This window comes from Homo sapiens, chromosome 17 (genome assembly GCF_000001405.40).
Source record: "Homo sapiens chromosome 17, GRCh38.p14 Primary Assembly".
In the NCBI taxonomy this organism is placed as follows: domain Eukaryota; kingdom Metazoa; phylum Chordata; class Mammalia; order Primates; family Hominidae; genus Homo; species Homo sapiens.
The window spans coordinates 75236461-75253515 of NC_000017.11; the positions used below are offsets into that span (position 1 = coordinate 75236461).

Genomic DNA, 17055 nt, shown 5'->3' on the forward strand with positions numbered 1-17055 from the left:
AAGCGTACAGGAACCCGCACTTTTAACAAAAACCTTGGGCAGTTCTATCATAGGCTGTCCTCATGTATATCTAGAATTCATAGGTGGTACCTTTTCCTCCATCAGGGTGAATGGCGTCTATACTAGGAAGATTCCAAGTACAGTGAAAATGGTTTTATTTAACATGCAGCAAAACAAGGGCAGCAGAGCTGGGATATCCAGTACAGCCATTTGCCACGAAGCACTGACCTCAACAGTAACGAGTAACACTCAAATAACTGTAATGTCTAGAGCATAACACAAAGTTCCATTTCCACATAGTAATTCCACAGACATTCCCAGGGCTGCAGCAGCCAGTCTCTGGAAAGCTCTTGGATTTATTCCTTAAGTAGTGAAAAATGATTCACTTTTGACTTGTCCTCTTCTAATGAAGCAGTGAAACCTGCTTGCTAAAGACAGCGAGGGGCAGGGAAGGGATATGACCTCTTCCCATAGTAAGGAATAAGGAAGCCTGGCAAGGGGCAGGGAGGAACCAGGGAACATGGTCTGTGCCACCTTCCTTTCCCCAGAGATGTCCGATTGCTGAGCTTGTTCACCTGGGCTCCGCAAGCTTCCCCCGTGTCTATGGCAGCTGGTGATTTTTTTTTTGTGACGGAGGCTTGGAGTACATGTCCCAGGATCACATCCAGCAGCTAGAGTGGCTGGGACAAGCTGGCGGGGGCCAAGCACTGTTGAAGCAATAGGGTCTGGTGACTCAGCTCAAGTGTGGCCCGATCTCATCACCTCCAGACCCAACATCTCGCTGACAGTGCCCCTCAGTAGCTGGGGAACAGTTGAGGTTTCTGGGCAGCACATTAGGACATATGTCTAGTGTAACATTTGTGATCCTGAGGCCTCCTGTGTCCAGCCACAGGTGCCACACCACATGCCATCTGGTGAGAGGAGAGGGAGGCCAAAGCAGTAGGATGTAGAGTGGCGGTAGATTCCAAGGGGAGGATAGCAGTTTATTTCATGCCAAGCAAGAGGTAGTCAGTAGGATGGCCTGTCCCCACGGCTGGAGGCACGCTTTTCCCAGAAAGCTGAGTACCTGCTTCTGGAGAAGGGGAAATACTGGCTCTCTTCATTTTCCTTCCTATCCCTAGTTGGGCCTGTCATGAGGCCAAATTCCATGTCCTGCCAAGATGTCCATAGGACACAGCCTGCCACTGCCAGGGACAAGCACACAACTCATCACTCCGTGGCCATTCCAGGACGATGCTGTCCACCAGAGGCAGGGCTGGGGACTTTGCAGTATGCCAGTTCCTTATTCTGGGCCAGGCACCTTCCTGGGCCACCTCCCTGGGGATGGCAGCAGGAGCTGGTTGGCGGGGGAAGCATGGAATTGCAACAGGGCTGCAGCCCCTTGGGCCGTGCATCTGTCAGGTGTGAGGATGTGGCTCTTGTGGGGAATGACCCATGACAGTCTCTCTTTAGAGACTCCCACCCCCCACCCCCCACCCCAGTGGCTTCAGTGAATGCCAGTAGAAGGAAGCAAACACCTACGCCAAGCCTGGGGGTCCATGTTCCCGGGACAGCAGTGAAGTCAGGGGCCACTCCGCACCCCTGACAGCATATGGCCACTTCAAGTCACACAGGTAGATAAAAACAGGTCCTTTTAGGGGCCAAAGGAGAGGTTATCACAGCAGCAGTTTGGTTCTCAGCAGAAATGCCCAGGGCCCCTGTTCCACATCAAAGCTACAAGCACTGTTGTCAGGGCATGGAGAGTGACGGGACCAGAGCCCTCCTCGTCTCAGGGCAGCCTGCCTGGCTTCAAGGTGGAGATCACAGCGTCCTCTGGGGTCATAGGTTCCCCCACTGTTCCACAGGAGGGAACTGGTCCACCTCGCCCACCTCTGTGCTCAGCTGCTCCCCCAGGGCGAAGGTCAGCTTATACCGAAGCCGCACCTTCTCCTGTGACAGAGGGCAGCAAGTGAGATCCAGCCCAGGCGGCCCCTTGGCAGGACGCCCTCTATTCTGCTACCCTCTCTGTGCTAGAGGAATGGTCCCTTTTCCCCGCAACCCCCAACCATGCTCAGACACTTAACCTAAGGCAGCAAAGGGATGTGTCAATCCTACAGTCAAAACACTTCCAGCTGGGAGGTGGTGGGCCTGACGTCCTAATCTGGGGCAGCTGGGGCCTCAGGCTGGGACCCCTGGGTTCTTTGCTGCTCACCTTCAGTGGATTGGCCAGCAACATGACCTGGGTGATGGCTGCAGGTGGCTGGATGGGGCTAAATGGAGAGAGTTCTGTCCCAGAAGGTGGCTGCAACTTCACTTTCATTGACTAAAGAGAGAGAAACTCCTTTGAAGAGAACTGGTAGGTGCCCCCAGATGGAACCTGCAGTGCACACACACACTGCCACCTGCTGGCTGCAAAGGCCTCTACACAACAGGGTCAAGATAAGGCCGTTTTGGCCCCAGGGAGACACTGGTACCTTGGGCACTGCAGCCTGCAGCACGATGCTCTTGACAGGTAAGGGAGCCGTGTTCAGCATGGACACCACCACCACCAGCACGTCAGGTCGTCCTGGGGGACACTCCTTGGCAAAGTGGAAGAGGATGCGGAAGCCGTTTTTATCGTAGGCTGTCACAGGAAGGGCACTGCCTGTAAGAACGTGACGTGAGTGTGGGAGGAGCAGCACCAGAGACACCCAACAGAGCCCCGGCGGTGAGGAGAAAAGGGCTACTCCGTGGTCATGATGAGTCCAGTGCTTCCTAACGGAATCTGGGAGAGGCGCTCAGTGAGGAGCTTAAGACTGAGAATGCAGGCAGGGAGGCCTGCCTGGCTTTAAGGGACCCCCTGCAAAGAGTGCCTGGATCCATCCCTGTCGCATGTCCTACAGCTCCGTGGCTATAGGCCCCACCGCCCCACCCACCTCAATCCTCCAACACCTACTAGGCTTGATCGATTCCAGGGGCACGTGGATGCTGGCCAGGGAGAGCTCAGGCCCCTTCGGGGGGCTGCCCTGGGACTGGAAACTCAGTGGCTGGAAGAGCGGGCTGCCGGGCCCCGTGGAGAAGGGCAGGAGGGGCCTGGCTGGGGTGGTGGTGGGGATGAGAGGGGAGGTAGTGGGTTTCACCAAGCCCGAGGTCCTGGGAGGTGGGAAGGATGGAAAGCACGTCAGAGAGCCAGCCAGAGCTGCAGGACTCTCACCCAAGGCCCCTGACCATGCTCTTACCCAGGCCCACCCCTTGCCTTCCAGCCTGACTGATGGGACTACAAGGCACCCCCACCCCTTCAAAGTTAGCTCTGGTTCTGACACATTCAGGCCCAACCCTCAGCAACCCCACATCTCCTCCCACTCATTACACTTTGGCCTCTTCTAGAAGCTGATCGAGGGCATCCAGGTGGTGCAGCGCGCTGTTGCCCAACGCCAAGCCATGGTGCCCAGGGACTGCGGGCTCAACTTTTGGGGCCAAGGCTGGGGCCACTCCAGTAGAAAACAAGGAGGAGCCCGCACTGGGGGCAGGAACACTGGCTGGGACCACAGGAGCTGGGAAGGGAGGCGGCAGTGGAGCTTGGGAGCTGCTTGAGGAGGGGGCTGAGGGCTGGAGCAGAGGAGCATCGGAGGCGCCACAGGCAGCGGTCCCCGGCCTGGGGCTGAAGAAGTCCAGGTCGGACTGTTCCCTCTATGAACAACAGAAAGGGTGGTGAGCCGAGGGCGGGTGGGGAGGGCCTGCCGCTGGAACGGGGCGCAGCCCTCCAAGGACTGCACGGAAGACAGCCCCGGAGGCACTCATTGTTCCCCGCTGCAGCTGGCACGCTCTGGAGGGAAGGACAGCTAACTGCAGCCCAGGAGACATGACGCTGGAAAGTGGAGGTCCTTGGCACAGTAGTGCTGTCACCGATCCTGTGCCCCTACCTGGAGCAGGTGCCACTGGCTGTTCCCAGCTGACTCTTTGGGAGGAACATTAGGGGCTGGGTCGGCGAGGCCTGACAATAGAGAAGAAAACAGGATGAGAAGAGGCTCTGAGCTAGGCAGCCCTAGCCCCGCCTTGCCTGAGGAGGGGTCAGGTGACAAGTGACATCAATGGGTGAAGGCGCCGGGAGAAGCTGTTCTGCAGGCAGCCTCCAGAGGGGAATGGAGCGCTCCAGTCCATGATGCAGAAGCGGGGGGCCTGTGGGGCGGGGTGCAGGGCAGGAGGCAGAGTCCACCGGGAGGATGGCCCTGGGGCCCTCAGGGTCGCTGAACTTCACTGAGTACCTCCAACTCAGGGTTCTTTGCCCACCCCAACAGTCACACTGGGGCCCCGCTCAGGGCTCCTAATTCCACACACCCTTCCTCCCAGAGCCCTGTCAGGGGATGCCCCTGACGCCCCCTGTGGGCCGCACCCAAGCAGAGTAGCTCCTCGTCCAGCCAGGAGAGGGCGTTGCTTGTGCTGCTGGGCCCCAGGGTGGCCTCGGCCTGGCTAGAGGAGCGGCTCCGTGGAGGTCCTGAGGCCTGGGGTGGTGGAGGGAGGATTGGGATGCCTGAGGAGGGTGGAGTAGGTGCTGGGGCCAACACGGAGGACAAACTGTTGGTCGTGTCCAGCTCCGCAAGGTCGATGAGCGTGCCTTGGTTACTGCACTGACTGTTTCCTGGATGGGTCAACAGAGCAGAACAGGAATAATTAGGGGTCTTCTAGTGGCTGTGTGGCAGGAGGCAGCACCCTAGGCACAGAGGTCACTGCTACAGCCTCTGGCCTAATCCAACGGCATCTCTGCCAGGGGATGCTGCAAAGCAAGCCCGAGAAAGCAGGTGGGGAAATTCCTACCCACATCTCCAGGCCTCCGGGAAGCCGGAGGATTGCTTGGAATGGCAAAGAACTCCCTTGGGCCTTGTGCAACACCACCACGCTGGCCAGCCTACACCCGCAGCTTCATGATAGGGGCCTGAGGCTGGTCTGGAGGAGCCTAGAGTTGGGGACCAGAGCATCTCACCTTCCGAGTCAGGCAGGGTTAAGGTAGCCACCTCGCCATTGATGACCTGCCCTTCAATAATTGTTTTGTAAGAGTTGATGACCCGGGAGAGGTTGTCACTGGCTTGCAGGATGTCCCCTGGAGCAGGAAAGAGAGACTTCTCACTCCTGTTGTGACAGTTCCCACCCACATATCCAAATGCCTGGCTTATCCCTGACCGTCGCTCTTTCACTCACCCAAACTGTTATCATTGTCCTCAGTCTCACTGGCGAGTTTAAATAAAGTCCGCCTCTTGTTCTCACACTGATCAAACAGCTCCTGAAAGAGACTCGGACATAAAAATCAAACCACAAAGGCCCTTAGAGATCATCTGATTCATTCAGGGTTCATGCCCAGAAAATGACCGGGATATGCCAATTGCCACGGTCAATTACCAGCAAAGCTGGGATCACAGCGCACGTCTTCTTGCCACCAGCCACCACCACCACACCACATCACCCAGGATGTTTGTCTAGGTAGCAGTCACCAGGATGGGTCAGGGGAAGTCAGTCCCCTCCTGCCTTCCAGGCTGGCATGTTCCTCAGAACTCAAAATATCCACCCAACCATGGCCTGCACCACATGGGCATCAGGGTTACAAGGAAGCCTCTCTGTCTTGATGTCCCCAAGGTAGTAAGGAAAGGGAGAGAGCAGGGGTGAGCACCGAGAGTGTGGTCTCTGGAGTCAGACTCAGGTTTCCATCTGGCCCTTACACCCTGGACAAGTCAGCTGATCCCAGGAGGCAAATGGGGACGCCACCCTCTACTGACGTGGCTGCTGTGCAGATGAGTAAGGTCATGAATACACTGCCAAGTGCACAGCCCGTGTCTCTGACAAGGCACGTGCTCAGCAAATGCTGGCTGAGCTCCTGAAGGGCAGCGCAGCCCCGGGAGGCAGCCTTTGCCGTCGGCGGTCCCACCTTCATCAGCTCTCTGTCCCCGTCCGAAGAGTCCTCCTGGCTGTAATGAAGCAGCATCTCACTGAGCAGTCTCACGTTGTTGTTAACTTCCTCTAACGTGTGCAGACGCTTGGTCACCTTCTGGATCCGTGCCTCGTCCTGCCCCAGTGAAGAAGTTCAAGAGAAAGAGAGCGTCACTTGACTGTCTTTCCACTTCCACCAGGTCACACCTTACCCCACAACACAAGTACAGACGCTCGGAAGCTCCTTTCAGTGTGGGGTGCCTGGGGCCCAGTCTATACTTCTGCTTTCACAACACTGCTCCCAACCCACTCCTCTCTTCCGTGCTCCCGCGGAAGCTATTGTGCTCCTCCTCCCACTCTCAGCCACCGGGGCACAGGTAGGGCAGCTGGCAGCAGGGGAGAACAAAACAGGCCCGTGTCCGGGGCAAAGCGGCTTCTGCTGTGTGGCCATGGGCTCCTCCACCCCGTGCCTGAAGGACCGGGGCCCACTCACTTCCTTCACCATGGACTTGATGAGCTTGTTGGCCTCCTGCAGGTCATCTGGGTTTTTGCTTTTCAGCAGCTTGGCTAAAAGCTGAGAGAGGAGGAAATCAGAGGTGAAGGGAAGAGGCAGCACCCGTACCCCAGGGAAACCCCAGAGGCTCCCCGCAGCACAGTGCAAACCACATTCCCCTGCTGCCACCCACTCTCGTATGAGAAAATCCCAGGCCCAGGGTGTCCTTTACCTTGGACTTCTCCTCATCATCAAAAACAGGGTTTTTGGGACGAGGTGGTGGAGAGGGGATCAGCGTCCTATCCACAGGAATTGGTGGGTCAGACTGCACTATGCCTGAAAGGGGACATGGCAGCACGTGCACTCAGGCTGTGGTTGCCTTGTCACCCCTCCTCATACACCAAGGGCCACGTCCCTGTGATCAAGACCTGCAAAGGGTAGCAGGGTGGAGGGCAGGCTGCTACACCTTATCCCATCCAACTCCGACTCAGCCTTGCCTGGGGACAAATGCTGTTCTCTTCAGGAGGGACTCTGGGGATCCCAAACCTTCCCTTCTCTCCTTGCCTGGGCCAGCCTTCGAGGGCTGCCTGGAGGCTGCGGGCAGGCAGACACGTACCCTGTCTCTTCAGCATGTGGTAGGCGTCTTTGATCTTTGCTTCTTCTGGCAGGGCCATGGTCCAGCTGTACAGCAGCTCAATAACCTTGGTCTTCACTTTCTCAGACACCCTGTCCCCCAGGTACTACATGGCAAAAGAAAATGAGGACCTAGTAAGTGCAGTTCGGAGGCAGAGAAAGTGTAAGGCTCCCTCCACAGCAATGGCGTGGCTGCTCAGCAGCTATGGTCCTACTCAAAATCTGCAGGTGTCCAAGTGTGTGTGAGACAGCGTGGGGAGGGGAACGACTCCCTGTGGTGTGGCTGTGTCCATCTGGATACAGTCTGTGGATAGGCAGGGGGCCAGGAGGTCATCACCTCCTGTCCAGGAAGTGTCCTGTAAGTGTATTCATGACCTTACTCATCTGCACAGCAGCCACGTCAGTAGGGGTGGCGTCCCCATTTGCCGCCTGGGATCATCTAACTTGCCCAGGGTGTAAGGGCCGGATGGAAACCTGAGTCTGACACCAGAGACCATGCCCTCGGTGCTCACCCCTGCTCTCTGCCTTTCCTTACTACCTTGGGGACATCAAGACAGAGAGGCTTCCTTGTGACCCTGATGCCCATGTGGTGCAGGCCATGGTTGGGTGGATATTTTGAGTTCTGAGGAAAGTGCATTTTCACGCACAAGTTGCCAGAAACACAACTGCATTTTATCTTGGGGGTGTCCATGAGAATGTCTTTAGCATGGTAAAGTATTCCCTCTGCTTTAAGTGGGGGCCCAGAGCTGCGCCACACCAGCGTGCAACAGAACACGGCCAGCTGAGCATCGGAGCAATGACGGAGGCCAGCTCCCCGTATCCACGTGACACAGGCCAAGAAAACCCACAAAACCCACAACTGCCATGTGCCAGGTGCCTAGAGTCCCACACTACATGGGCCCTCACCCTGGACAAACACACAGCCACTACCACATCACCTGTCAGATTTGGGCTGAGGGCGCTTCAGAAAAAGCTGCCGGTCCCTGTGGCCTGTTTGGTCATCCCGTTACCTCCAGGGCCTAGCTCTCTAAGGACAAGACACAAATAATCTCAGCTCCCTGGAGATGTTGGATGGGCAGTGAAAGCCAGTATGATGGGAGATGGGAATGAACACAAAAGAAGTCCCTAAAAGCGAGGAATCTGCCGCTGACTGACCTTTGGAGAGACGACTTTGATTAACTCATTCAAAAAGCGGAACTTCCCCACTTCGTTATGAAATCTCCTCCCACAGTTCTTCATGCATGCCTCCAGCACCTGTAGCCGCACAGAGGAGAGGCGCTCAGTGAGGGCGTGCTCGGGGCTGGAACCTGGCACTGGCAAGATCCCTGGCACCCAGAGAGTACTGAATAAACACGCCCACAGGAAGGAGCTCATCACGAAAAGCAGTGTGCACTGCCCGGGGACAGTGTAATTAAGCAACGAGATCACTCACAGACCATGTCCCTCCAACTGCAAACCTCTGCTGGGGAAGCTGGGCAGGGACTAAAGCAAGAAACCCCGAGACCCCGACCCCAAGAAGGCCTGGATGCCAGTCCTGGAAGGTGCCTTCCTTAAAGATTCTGGCCTCGTGTTTTACAATGAGGGAGGTGAGGTCCAGGGACAAAGTTTCTCTGACTTGGTGTCCTGGGTTTTTTCCACAAGCTCACCAACAATTGTGCAGGGAATGGGAGGGATGTTTAAATCCTATTATCTGTGAGAAAGATGACAGGATATTTCTCCTCCCTCCGCTTATCTCCCTAACTCACGCTTTGGCTTTCCTGTGCTGCCTGTGGTCCCTGGCACTGCGGTTTCTAAGGGGGAGTGCACTGTCCAGGCTCTCTTTCTTGGCTTCTGCATTTTAAAGCAAGGTTTCTCAGGTGAGGCCTGGCTGACATTTTGGGCTGGTCATTCTTCGTTGTGGGGGGCCACTCTGCACTTTATAGGGTGTCGAACAGCATCCCTGGCCTCTGCCTACTTGATGCCAGGAGGACCCCCACCCCGATGTGTGACAACTAAAAATGTTTCCAGACACTGCCAAATGTTCCCTGGAGGGCCCTGTTGAGAATCACTGGGTTTTGTTACGTTTTTTTTTTGTTTTTTGACACAGAATCTCGCTATGTTGGTCAGGCTAGAGTGCAACGGTGTGATCACCACTCACTTTCGCCTCAACTTCCCAGGCTCAAGCCATCCTTCAACCTCAGCCTCCCGAGGAGCTGGGACCACAGGTGTGTGCCACCGTGCCTGGCTGATTTTTTTATTTTTTGTAGAGACAATGTCTCACTACGTTGCCTAGGCTGGTCTTGAATTCCCTTAAGCGATCCTCCCGGCCTAGGCCCCACAGGGTGCTGGGACTATAGGTACAAGCCACCGTGCCCTGCTGAGAATCACTGTTTTAAGGAATTCGTTCTACAGCAAATATGACTGAGGGGTGCATGTGAACCAGATGATATTTCCTCTTTTCGCTTTCCAGGACCTGAATGCAGTCAGGCTAGAGCCCCGGATTCCTCAGATCTCGGCTGCTCTTTGTTTTCGGAGCATGTGGAGGCACTGAGGGCCAGGCACCATTCCACACCTTAAATTCCCTCAGTCTGAACAGACACCAGGATCTGCCCTAGGGGCCTCAGCCATCAGTGCGACACCTTCGCTAGTGACTGGCATTGTTTAACTACAGAATGAACTGGACCGACCCCTCTTTTCTTCAGCTGGCCAGCTCTGAACTATCAACACAGCCCTGTCAGCATCTCTTCACCAAGCCTTCTCTTGCGCCACATGGGGCTCAGGGCCCTGACTCTGGGCTGCTTTCCTTAGCCCCTCTGCCTCACACACTAACCATGTGGCCATGCTGGCAGGGACGGCACTGCAGTCACCTCTGAGGCCTCAGGGCCTGGCACAATGCACACAGATTTGTGGAACAGCTGGCTGAACAGATTCGAGATCTATCTAGTCTGTATCAAGGACTTTCTGTTGGCTTTTGGCAGGAGCCCTAAGAACCGCTATGGGGACACGAGGAATGGCGTGGGCAGGTGAAGGGCTGCGGTTTCCACCTCCGGAGAGTGAAGGACCTACCGTCAGGGCCTGGAGCGCCTCCCATTCCTGTGGGGACTGGATCTTGTGGGCCAGCAGTCGGACGGCGATCTGTGGCCTGGGGGACAAGCAGAACACACTCCAGTGCACTAAGCCTGGGGCTACCTGGCTGGCCCTCCTTGGCCATGGTTGTTCCCCTTCCCAGTCCGCTCCCTCTCAGCTGCCCCCACAGTGCTGAGACTCACCCTTCCAGCTCCTTGTTGATCTGATCACAGAAGCCAATTATGTATTCCCAGTCCTCCTGGCGGTTGGAAGGATTGGTGGCTTTATCTTGCAACACAACAAAGAAGAGGACAAGTGTTAGGAAGAGCAATGAGGATGCAATGGAAGGTTTTCTTCGCAAGTTTTAAGCACTAAGAGTTTGCTTTCAACTTTACTCTCTAATAGAGAAGCCTCAGTAGAACAGTCAGTAGCAAGGAGACAGAAAAAAAAAAAATTCAGTCGGAGAGCAAATACAAATACTGCTTTCTGTCCAGTATTTTGAAAGTCACAAATAAAAGAGAAAACAAATTCTGTCTCATGAAGCTTAGAGTGGAATCAAGGTCAAAAGGACAAACACAAATAATTAAAATATTCCCAAAAAAATGCCTACATGAAACATGTAAAGATAATAAAGGGAACTCCAGCTATATAAAAATGAGCTCAGTGTTAAGCAAGTGGAGATGGTCAAGAAGGGTTTTTGGGGAAACTGAAATCAGACTGAACTAGATAAAAAAATACATATTTGTAACCACAAATTTTTTTTTTTTTTTTGACATGGAGTCTCGCTCTTGTTGCCCAGGCTGTAGTACAGTGGCACGATCTCGGCTCATTGCAGCCTCTGCCTCCCGGGTTCAAGTGATTCTCCTGCCTCAGCCTCCCAAGTAGCTGGGACTACAGGTGCATACCACCATGCCCAACTAATTTTGTATTTTTGGTAGAGACGGGGTTTCTCCATGTTGGTCAGGCTGGTCTCAAACTCCCGACCTCAGGTGATCGGCCCGCCTTGGCCTCCCAAAGTGCTGGGATTACAGGCGTGAGTCACCGCGCCCAGCGAATATTTTCCACATACCTGTCAAAAGGTTTTTCCAGACCTAGCCTTCCATAATGCTTTAAGTGTTTTTGAAATTGCACATAATGCTCATCATTGTCAAGCCAACAACATTTACTTAGCCCCTACTAAGCCCTGGTCACCGTGCAACTTGCCTGGGATTGCAGCTTGAGTATCTAGCACCCCCAGGCTCTAATGGCCTTCCATGGTCAAGCACAAACACAAGTACTAGAGTTCTCAGAGGGCCCCTGGGATTTAAAATCCAGGCACCAAATGCAAAGTTCTGATATTTGGCATGGGCTCTCCTCAGTTACCTTCCCAAACCTGTGATTACACTGAAGAGCCCAGCTGAGGGTGGTTACATGGGTTCCCATCTCTGATTCAGGTCCAGAGCCTCCCTCTTCAGAAAGCACTCTCCAGCTGTTTGCTAAATTTAGGGCTTTGGGTTCTGAAGACAAATGGAAGGCTGAAGACGCACACCCCTTAAAACACTCCTGCTCCCTCCCCAGATCTCTATGAGGGCCCAAAGCAGGGTGTCAGAGCCCCTCCCGACAAGGCCCTCTCTGTCATTACTTTCTGAATTCTGATTTCTCATAATTGTATTTTGTTAACTTTAAAAATCACCAGCTACGGGGCCGGGCGTGGTGGCTCACGCCTGTAATCCCAGCACTTTGGGAGGCCGAGGCGGGCGGATCACGAGGTCAGGAGATCGAGACCATCCTGGTTAACACGGTGAAACCCCCTCTCTACTAAAAATACAAAAAGTTAGCTGGGCAAGGTGGCGGGCGCCTGTAGTCCCAGCTACTCGGTAGGCTGAGGCAGGAGAATGGCGCGAACCCGGGGGGTGGAGTCTGCAGTGAGCTGAGATCGCACCACTGCATTCCAGCCTGGGCGACAGCGAGACTCCGTCTCAAAAAAAAAAAAAAAAAAAAAAAAAATCACCAGCTGGGCCGGGTGCAGTGGCTCACGCCTGTAATCCCAACACTTTGGGAGGCCGAGGCAGGCGGATCACCTGAGGTCAGGAGTTCAAGACCAGCCTGACCAACATGGAGAAACCCCATCACTACTAAAAATACAGAATTAGCTGGGCATGGTGGCACATGCCTGTAGTCCCAGCTACTCAGGAGGCTGAGGCAGGAAAATCGCTTGAACCTGGGAGGCAGAGGTTGCCTTGAGCCGAGATCGTGCCATTGCACTCCAGCCTGGGCAACAAGTGAAAACTCTGTCTAAAAAAAAAACAAAAACAAAAACAAAAAAAACAAAACAAAAAAAAAAAAACTCACCAGCTGGATGAACACATCATAACAGAGACTCCAGCTCCTTCACTGGCAACAGGGCTGCAGGGATCTGAGTAGCGACAGCTGCCAGGCAGAGGGAAGGCCCGTGGCACCCAGTGTATCACCCTGCTTCCCAGGTCGGGGCTCGGCCTCCCCGGCAGTGTTTCTGTTGTGGCTGCAAGGGGAAGATTCTGATGGTTTAGGTTCATATTTATTTATTTATTTATTTTGAGATTGAGTCTCGCTGTGTCACCCAGGCTGGAGTGCAGTGGCGCGATCTAGGCTCACTGCAACCTCCACCTCCCAGGTTCGAGCTATTCTCCTGCCTCAGCCTCCCGAGTAGCTGGGATTATAGGCATGCGCCACTATGCCTGGCTACTTTTTGTATTTTTAGTAGAGATGGGGTTTCGCCATGGTGGCCAGGCCTCCTGACCTCAGGTAAGGAGGTCAAGACCAGCCCTGGCCTCCCAAAGTGCTGGGATTACAGGCGGGAGCCACCGCACCCCGCCTAGGTTCCTCTTTAGAAGAAAAAGAAGGTGTCTGTCTTCAATCTTGAAAGAGAATTAACAGGTCCTTCAAAATCTGGAGCTTGAAAGGAGGGGAGTTAAATGTAATCAAGGGTAGCCATTTGGAAAGAAATGTCTGGCAATCCTGCATTACTGTATGGTAGCCTACCAGCTATCACATTCCAAATGCCAAGTCTCTCCCACCAATTGTCTGAAATTTCCTCAGGCATTAGCGTAGCTCTGTTACTAATTCCTATCAGGTGCTTAAAGTTCTCACATAACACCAAAAGTCTACAGGGTACAAAAATTGAATGGTCTGAGAAGCAATCCCCATCCCCCAGGGCTATTATTTTGGGAACAGTCATACACCTTGTGACAGAAGAAAAACTGGCCCACTCACTTTCACTTTTTGCACGGGGAAAAGCATCTTCTGAGTACAGAGTAAAATGTGGATCCCCCCAACCCCCGAAGCAACTGGTATTCACCATACGTTATCTTCTTCCCAAGTCTATTAGACTTCCAACAGCATTTCTACTTCCAAGAACACTCCTGCCCACTTTTCACTTGTATTAATTTCTCTAGAATCTCACTTTCTTCCACCTTGATAGACCTTTTTATGGCAAATCCACAGGGAGCTCTTTGCCTACTCACGGGCACAAAAAGCCCTAGTTTCTGCAATGGTCAGTTCCATGTCTATCTCCTCCAGCTCTCTGGGCAGCTCAGAAAGCAGAGCTCACCCGCCCACAGGAACGGGAAGGAACCTCTGGGGATAATTCTGGGTGACTTGATCTTTCCATCTGCCTACTGCCTCCCCAGCAGATGCACACAGCCTCCCACCCACTCAACATTTCCTTCACCTGGCATAGAGGTGACACCCGAGCTTCCCCTATAGACCTTGCCTTCCCGAACCGCCCCTCCGGGCTCTGCTCTGACTCATGGTTTCTGTCTATTTTCGAGTCTCTGTTGAAAGCCTCATCTGTTTCTGTGTCTCTGGATTTCCTGCTTTCATTTTTCAGCTTCACTCCATCGCTAGCCTACTCTCGTGGGACTTAAAACGTCATGTGGGGATGGAAACAGCAGCATTGGGTACCCCATTCCAGCACGGCTCAAACATTCCAGAGAAAACAAGATCTACATAGCAGGCTGGATGCGGTGGCTCACGCCCGTAATCTCAGCACTTTGGGAGGCCAAGGCAGGTGGATCATTTGAGGTCAGGAGTTCAAGACCAGCCTGTTCAACATGGTGAAATCCTGTCTCTACTAAAAATACTAAAATTAGCTAGGCACGGTAGCACACACCTGTAATCTCAGCTACTTGAAGGCTGAGGCTGGAGAACTGCTTGAACCCAGGAGGCAGAGGTTGCAGTGAGCCATGATTGTACCACTGCACTCCAGCCTGGGCAACAGAGTGAGACTCCATCTCCAAAAAAAAAAAAAAAAAAAATTATATACATATGGTCTGGGCACGGTGGCTCACGCCTGTAATCCCAGCACTTTGGGAGGCCGAGGCAGGCGGATCACCTGCGTGAGGTTAGGAGTTCGAGACCAGCCTGACCAACATGGTGAAACCCCATCTCTACTAAAAACACAAAATTAGCTGGGCATGGTTCCGCGCACCTGTGATCCCAGCTACTCAGGAGGCTAAGGCAGGAGAACCACTTGAACCCAGGAGGCAGAGGCTGCAGTGAGCTGAGATCAGGCCATTGCACTCCAGCCTGGGCCACAGAGTGAGGCTCCATCTCCAAAAAGAAAAATCTACGTAACAAATGACTTACAAACAAGCAGAAGCAAGAACATGGGCTGGAAAGGGAATAAAGGTCAACCTTCACTAGGGTCCTGAATGGAAACACAAACTTAGTCAATCACCAAGTCTTTGTTAAGCACCCGCAGACAATGAAGTAAACAGCATGTCAGCATGCCAGACCCTGGAGGGACTACAGAAAAAGTTCCAGACACAGATTTTACCCTCAAGGAGGCTGTGCTCTCCTGGTTCAATACATGAAAAAAAAAAAAAATCAGTTCAAAAAACAAGACAGTAGATAATTGGGCTAATTTGGTACAGAAATGAGTGTAAAAACAAATGTATGGCCCAGGCACGGTGGCTCACACCCGCAATCCCAGCATTTTGAGAGGCTGAGGTGGGTGGATCGCGAGGTCAGGAGTTCAAGACCAGCCTGGCTAAGATAGTGAAACCCTGTCTCTACTAAAACTACAAAAATTAGCCAGGCGAAGTGGCAGGCGCCTGTAATCCCAGCTACTTGGGAGGCTGAGGCAGGAGAATCGCTTTAACCCAGGCGGCAGAGGTTGCAATGAGCTGAGATTGTGCCACTGCACTCTAGCCTGGGCGACTAGAGTGAGACTCCTTCTCAAAAAAAAAAAAAAAAAAAAAAGCATCACTTCTTTTTCCTGACTTCCCCATTTCTTTTTCTTCTTCCTTTTTTTTTCTTTTTTGAGACAGGGTCTCACTCTGTCACTCAGGCAAGAGTGCAGTGGTGCGATCATGGCTTCACTGTAGCCTCAACTTCCCAGGCTCAGATGATTCTTCTACCTCAGCCTAGCTGGGACCACAGACACTCACATCACACCTAGCTAATTTTTTGTACTTTTGGTAGAGACAGAATTTTGCCATGTTGCTCAGGCTGGTCTTGAACTCCTAGGCTCAAGCAATCTGCCTGCCTTTAACTCCCAAGGTGCTAGGATTACAGGTGTGAGTCCCAGTGCCTGGCGTCTTTCGTTTTTTTTTTTCTTTTTTGTTGTTTGAGACGGGGTCTCACTCTGTCACCCAGGTTGGAGTGCAGTGGCTCTTACAGCTCACTGCAGTCTCTGCCTCCCAGGCTCAAGTGATCCTCCCACCTCAACCTCCTGAGTAGCTGGGACCACCCACAGGCGTGTGCTTGTTCTTTTTTTAGAGATGGGGGTCTCACTCTATTGCCCCGGGCTGCAGTAGGCGATCATGGCTCACTGTAGCCTCCAACTCCTGGGCTCAGGCGATGCTCCCACCTCAGCCTCCTGAGTAGCTGGGACCACAGGAATGAGCCACTGCATGTGGTCTATTAAGTCACTATTCCTATAAATGCTGCACCTTCCAAAAGTCCCCTATTCCCCCACCTCTTTTTTGACTCCTTCTTCCCTCTCTCCTCATCCATTCCTCTCAGTCTTGTGGTCCTTTCCTTCTCAATGTCTTCTTAAATCCCTTCCTTCCTTATCCCTACCCTCCACTCCTTCTCACCTGCTTCTAGAACTTCTGTTCTAATCCATCCTAATCCTATGTAAAGTCCCTATTGTCAGGCCTCTGAGCCCAAGCCAAGCCATGGCATCCCCTATGACTTGCACGTATACATCCAGATGGCCTGAAGTAACTGAAGATCCACAAAAGATGTAAAAATAGCCTTACCTGATGACATTCCAGCATTGTGATTTGTTTCTGCCCCACCCTAACTGATCAATGTACTTTGTAATCTCCCCCACCCTTAAGAAGGTTCTTCGTAATTCTCCCCACCCTTGAGAATGTACTTTGTGAGATCCATCCCTGCCCGCAAAACATTGCTCTTAACTTCACCGCCTATCCCAAAACCTATAAGAACTAATGATAATCCACCACACCATTTGCTGACTCTCTTTTCGGACTCAGCCCGCCTGCATCCAGGTGAAATAAACAGCCATGTTGCTCACACAAAGCCTGTTTGGTGGTCTCTTCACATGGACGCGCATGAAATTTGGTGCCATGACTCGGATCGCGGGACCTCCCTTGGGAGATCAATCCCCTGTCCTCCTGTTCTTTGCTCCGTGAAAAAGATCCACCTACGACCTCAGGTCCTCAGACCCACCAGCCCAAGGAACATCTCACCAATTTTAAATCAGGTAGGCGGCCTCTTCTTACTCTCTTCTCCAACCTCTCTCACTATCCCTCAACCACTTTCTCCTTTCCACTCTTCAATCTCTCCCTTCTCTTAATTTCAATTCCTTTCATTTTCTGGTAGAGACAAACGAGACACGTTTTATCCGTGGACCCAAAACTCTGGCGCTGGTCACAGACTGGGAAGGCAGCCTTTCCTTGGTGTTTAATCATTGCAGGGACACCTCTCTGATTATTCACTCACGTTTCAAAGGTGTCAGACCACTCAGGGACGCCTGCCTTGGTCCTTCACCCTTAGCGGCAAGTCCTGCTTTTCTGGGG

At 53.1% G+C, this 17055-nt stretch overlaps 1 protein-coding gene across 6 annotated transcripts in view, besides 5 other annotated features; it reads right to left on the reverse strand.

Annotated features, from left to right (window-relative positions):
* Window positions 1-138: 138 nt before the first annotated feature.
* Window positions 139-17055, reverse strand: part of GGA3 (golgi associated, gamma adaptin ear containing, ARF binding protein 3) — a 25765-nt gene continuing 8848 nt past the window's right edge. For 2 of the 6 annotated variants that reach the window (NM_001172703.3, NM_138619.4), the window contains exons 2-17: window positions 10252-10336; window positions 10049-10124; window positions 8159-8257; window positions 6987-7110; window positions 6603-6706; window positions 6371-6451; window positions 5876-6013; window positions 5155-5236; window positions 4940-5056; window positions 4352-4597; window positions 3882-3952; window positions 3329-3648; window positions 2915-3111; window positions 2454-2623; window positions 2192-2302; window positions 139-1929 (exon numbers count right to left, since the gene is read on the reverse strand). In NM_001172703.3, coding sequence (NP_001166174.1) covers window positions 1819-1929; window positions 2192-2302; window positions 2454-2623; window positions 2915-3111; window positions 3329-3648; window positions 3882-3952; window positions 4352-4597; window positions 4940-5056; window positions 5155-5236; window positions 5876-6013; window positions 6371-6451; window positions 6603-6706; window positions 6987-7110; window positions 8159-8242 — 1956 coding nt within the window. In that variant the 5' untranslated portion in view covers window positions 8243-8257; window positions 10049-10124; window positions 10252-10336 and the 3' untranslated portion in view covers window positions 139-1818. Of the gene's footprint in view, window positions 1930-2191; window positions 2303-2453; window positions 2624-2914; window positions 3112-3328; window positions 3649-3881; window positions 3953-4351; window positions 4598-4939; window positions 5057-5154; window positions 5237-5875; window positions 6014-6370; window positions 6452-6602; window positions 6707-6986; window positions 7111-8158; window positions 8258-10048; window positions 10125-10251; window positions 10337-12379; window positions 12549-17055 lie in introns of all 6 variants that reach the window. The other 4 variants (NM_001291641.2, NM_001172704.3, NM_014001.5 and 1 more) reach the window with 4 other exon arrangements.
* Window positions 4188-4482: a silencer, noted in NCBI's record as "tiled region #15557; HepG2 Repressive DNase unmatched - State 12:CtcfO". NCBI's record gives its function as "represses a minimal TATA promoter and a strong SV40 promoter by Sharpr-MPRA in HepG2 cells {active_cell/tissue: HepG2}" and the evidence as "EXISTENCE:reporter gene assay evidence [ECO:0000049][PMID:27701403]".
* Window positions 6536-6585: an enhancer, noted in NCBI's record as "active region_12738". NCBI's record gives its function as "activates an Ori minimal core promoter by ATAC-STARR-seq in GM12878 lymphoblastoid cells {active_cell/tissue: GM12878}" and the evidence as "EXISTENCE:reporter gene assay evidence [ECO:0000049][PMID:35858748]".
* Window positions 14065-14164: an enhancer, noted in NCBI's record as "active region_12739". NCBI's record gives its function as "activates an Ori minimal core promoter by ATAC-STARR-seq in GM12878 lymphoblastoid cells {active_cell/tissue: GM12878}" and the evidence as "EXISTENCE:reporter gene assay evidence [ECO:0000049][PMID:35858748]".
* Window positions 14175-14284: an enhancer, noted in NCBI's record as "active region_12740". NCBI's record gives its function as "activates an Ori minimal core promoter by ATAC-STARR-seq in GM12878 lymphoblastoid cells {active_cell/tissue: GM12878}" and the evidence as "EXISTENCE:reporter gene assay evidence [ECO:0000049][PMID:35858748]".
* Window positions 14608-14902: a silencer, noted in NCBI's record as "tiled region #8279; K562 Repressive non-DNase unmatched - State 7:EnhWF". NCBI's record gives its function as "represses a minimal TATA promoter and a strong SV40 promoter by Sharpr-MPRA in K562 cells {active_cell/tissue: K562}" and the evidence as "EXISTENCE:reporter gene assay evidence [ECO:0000049][PMID:27701403]".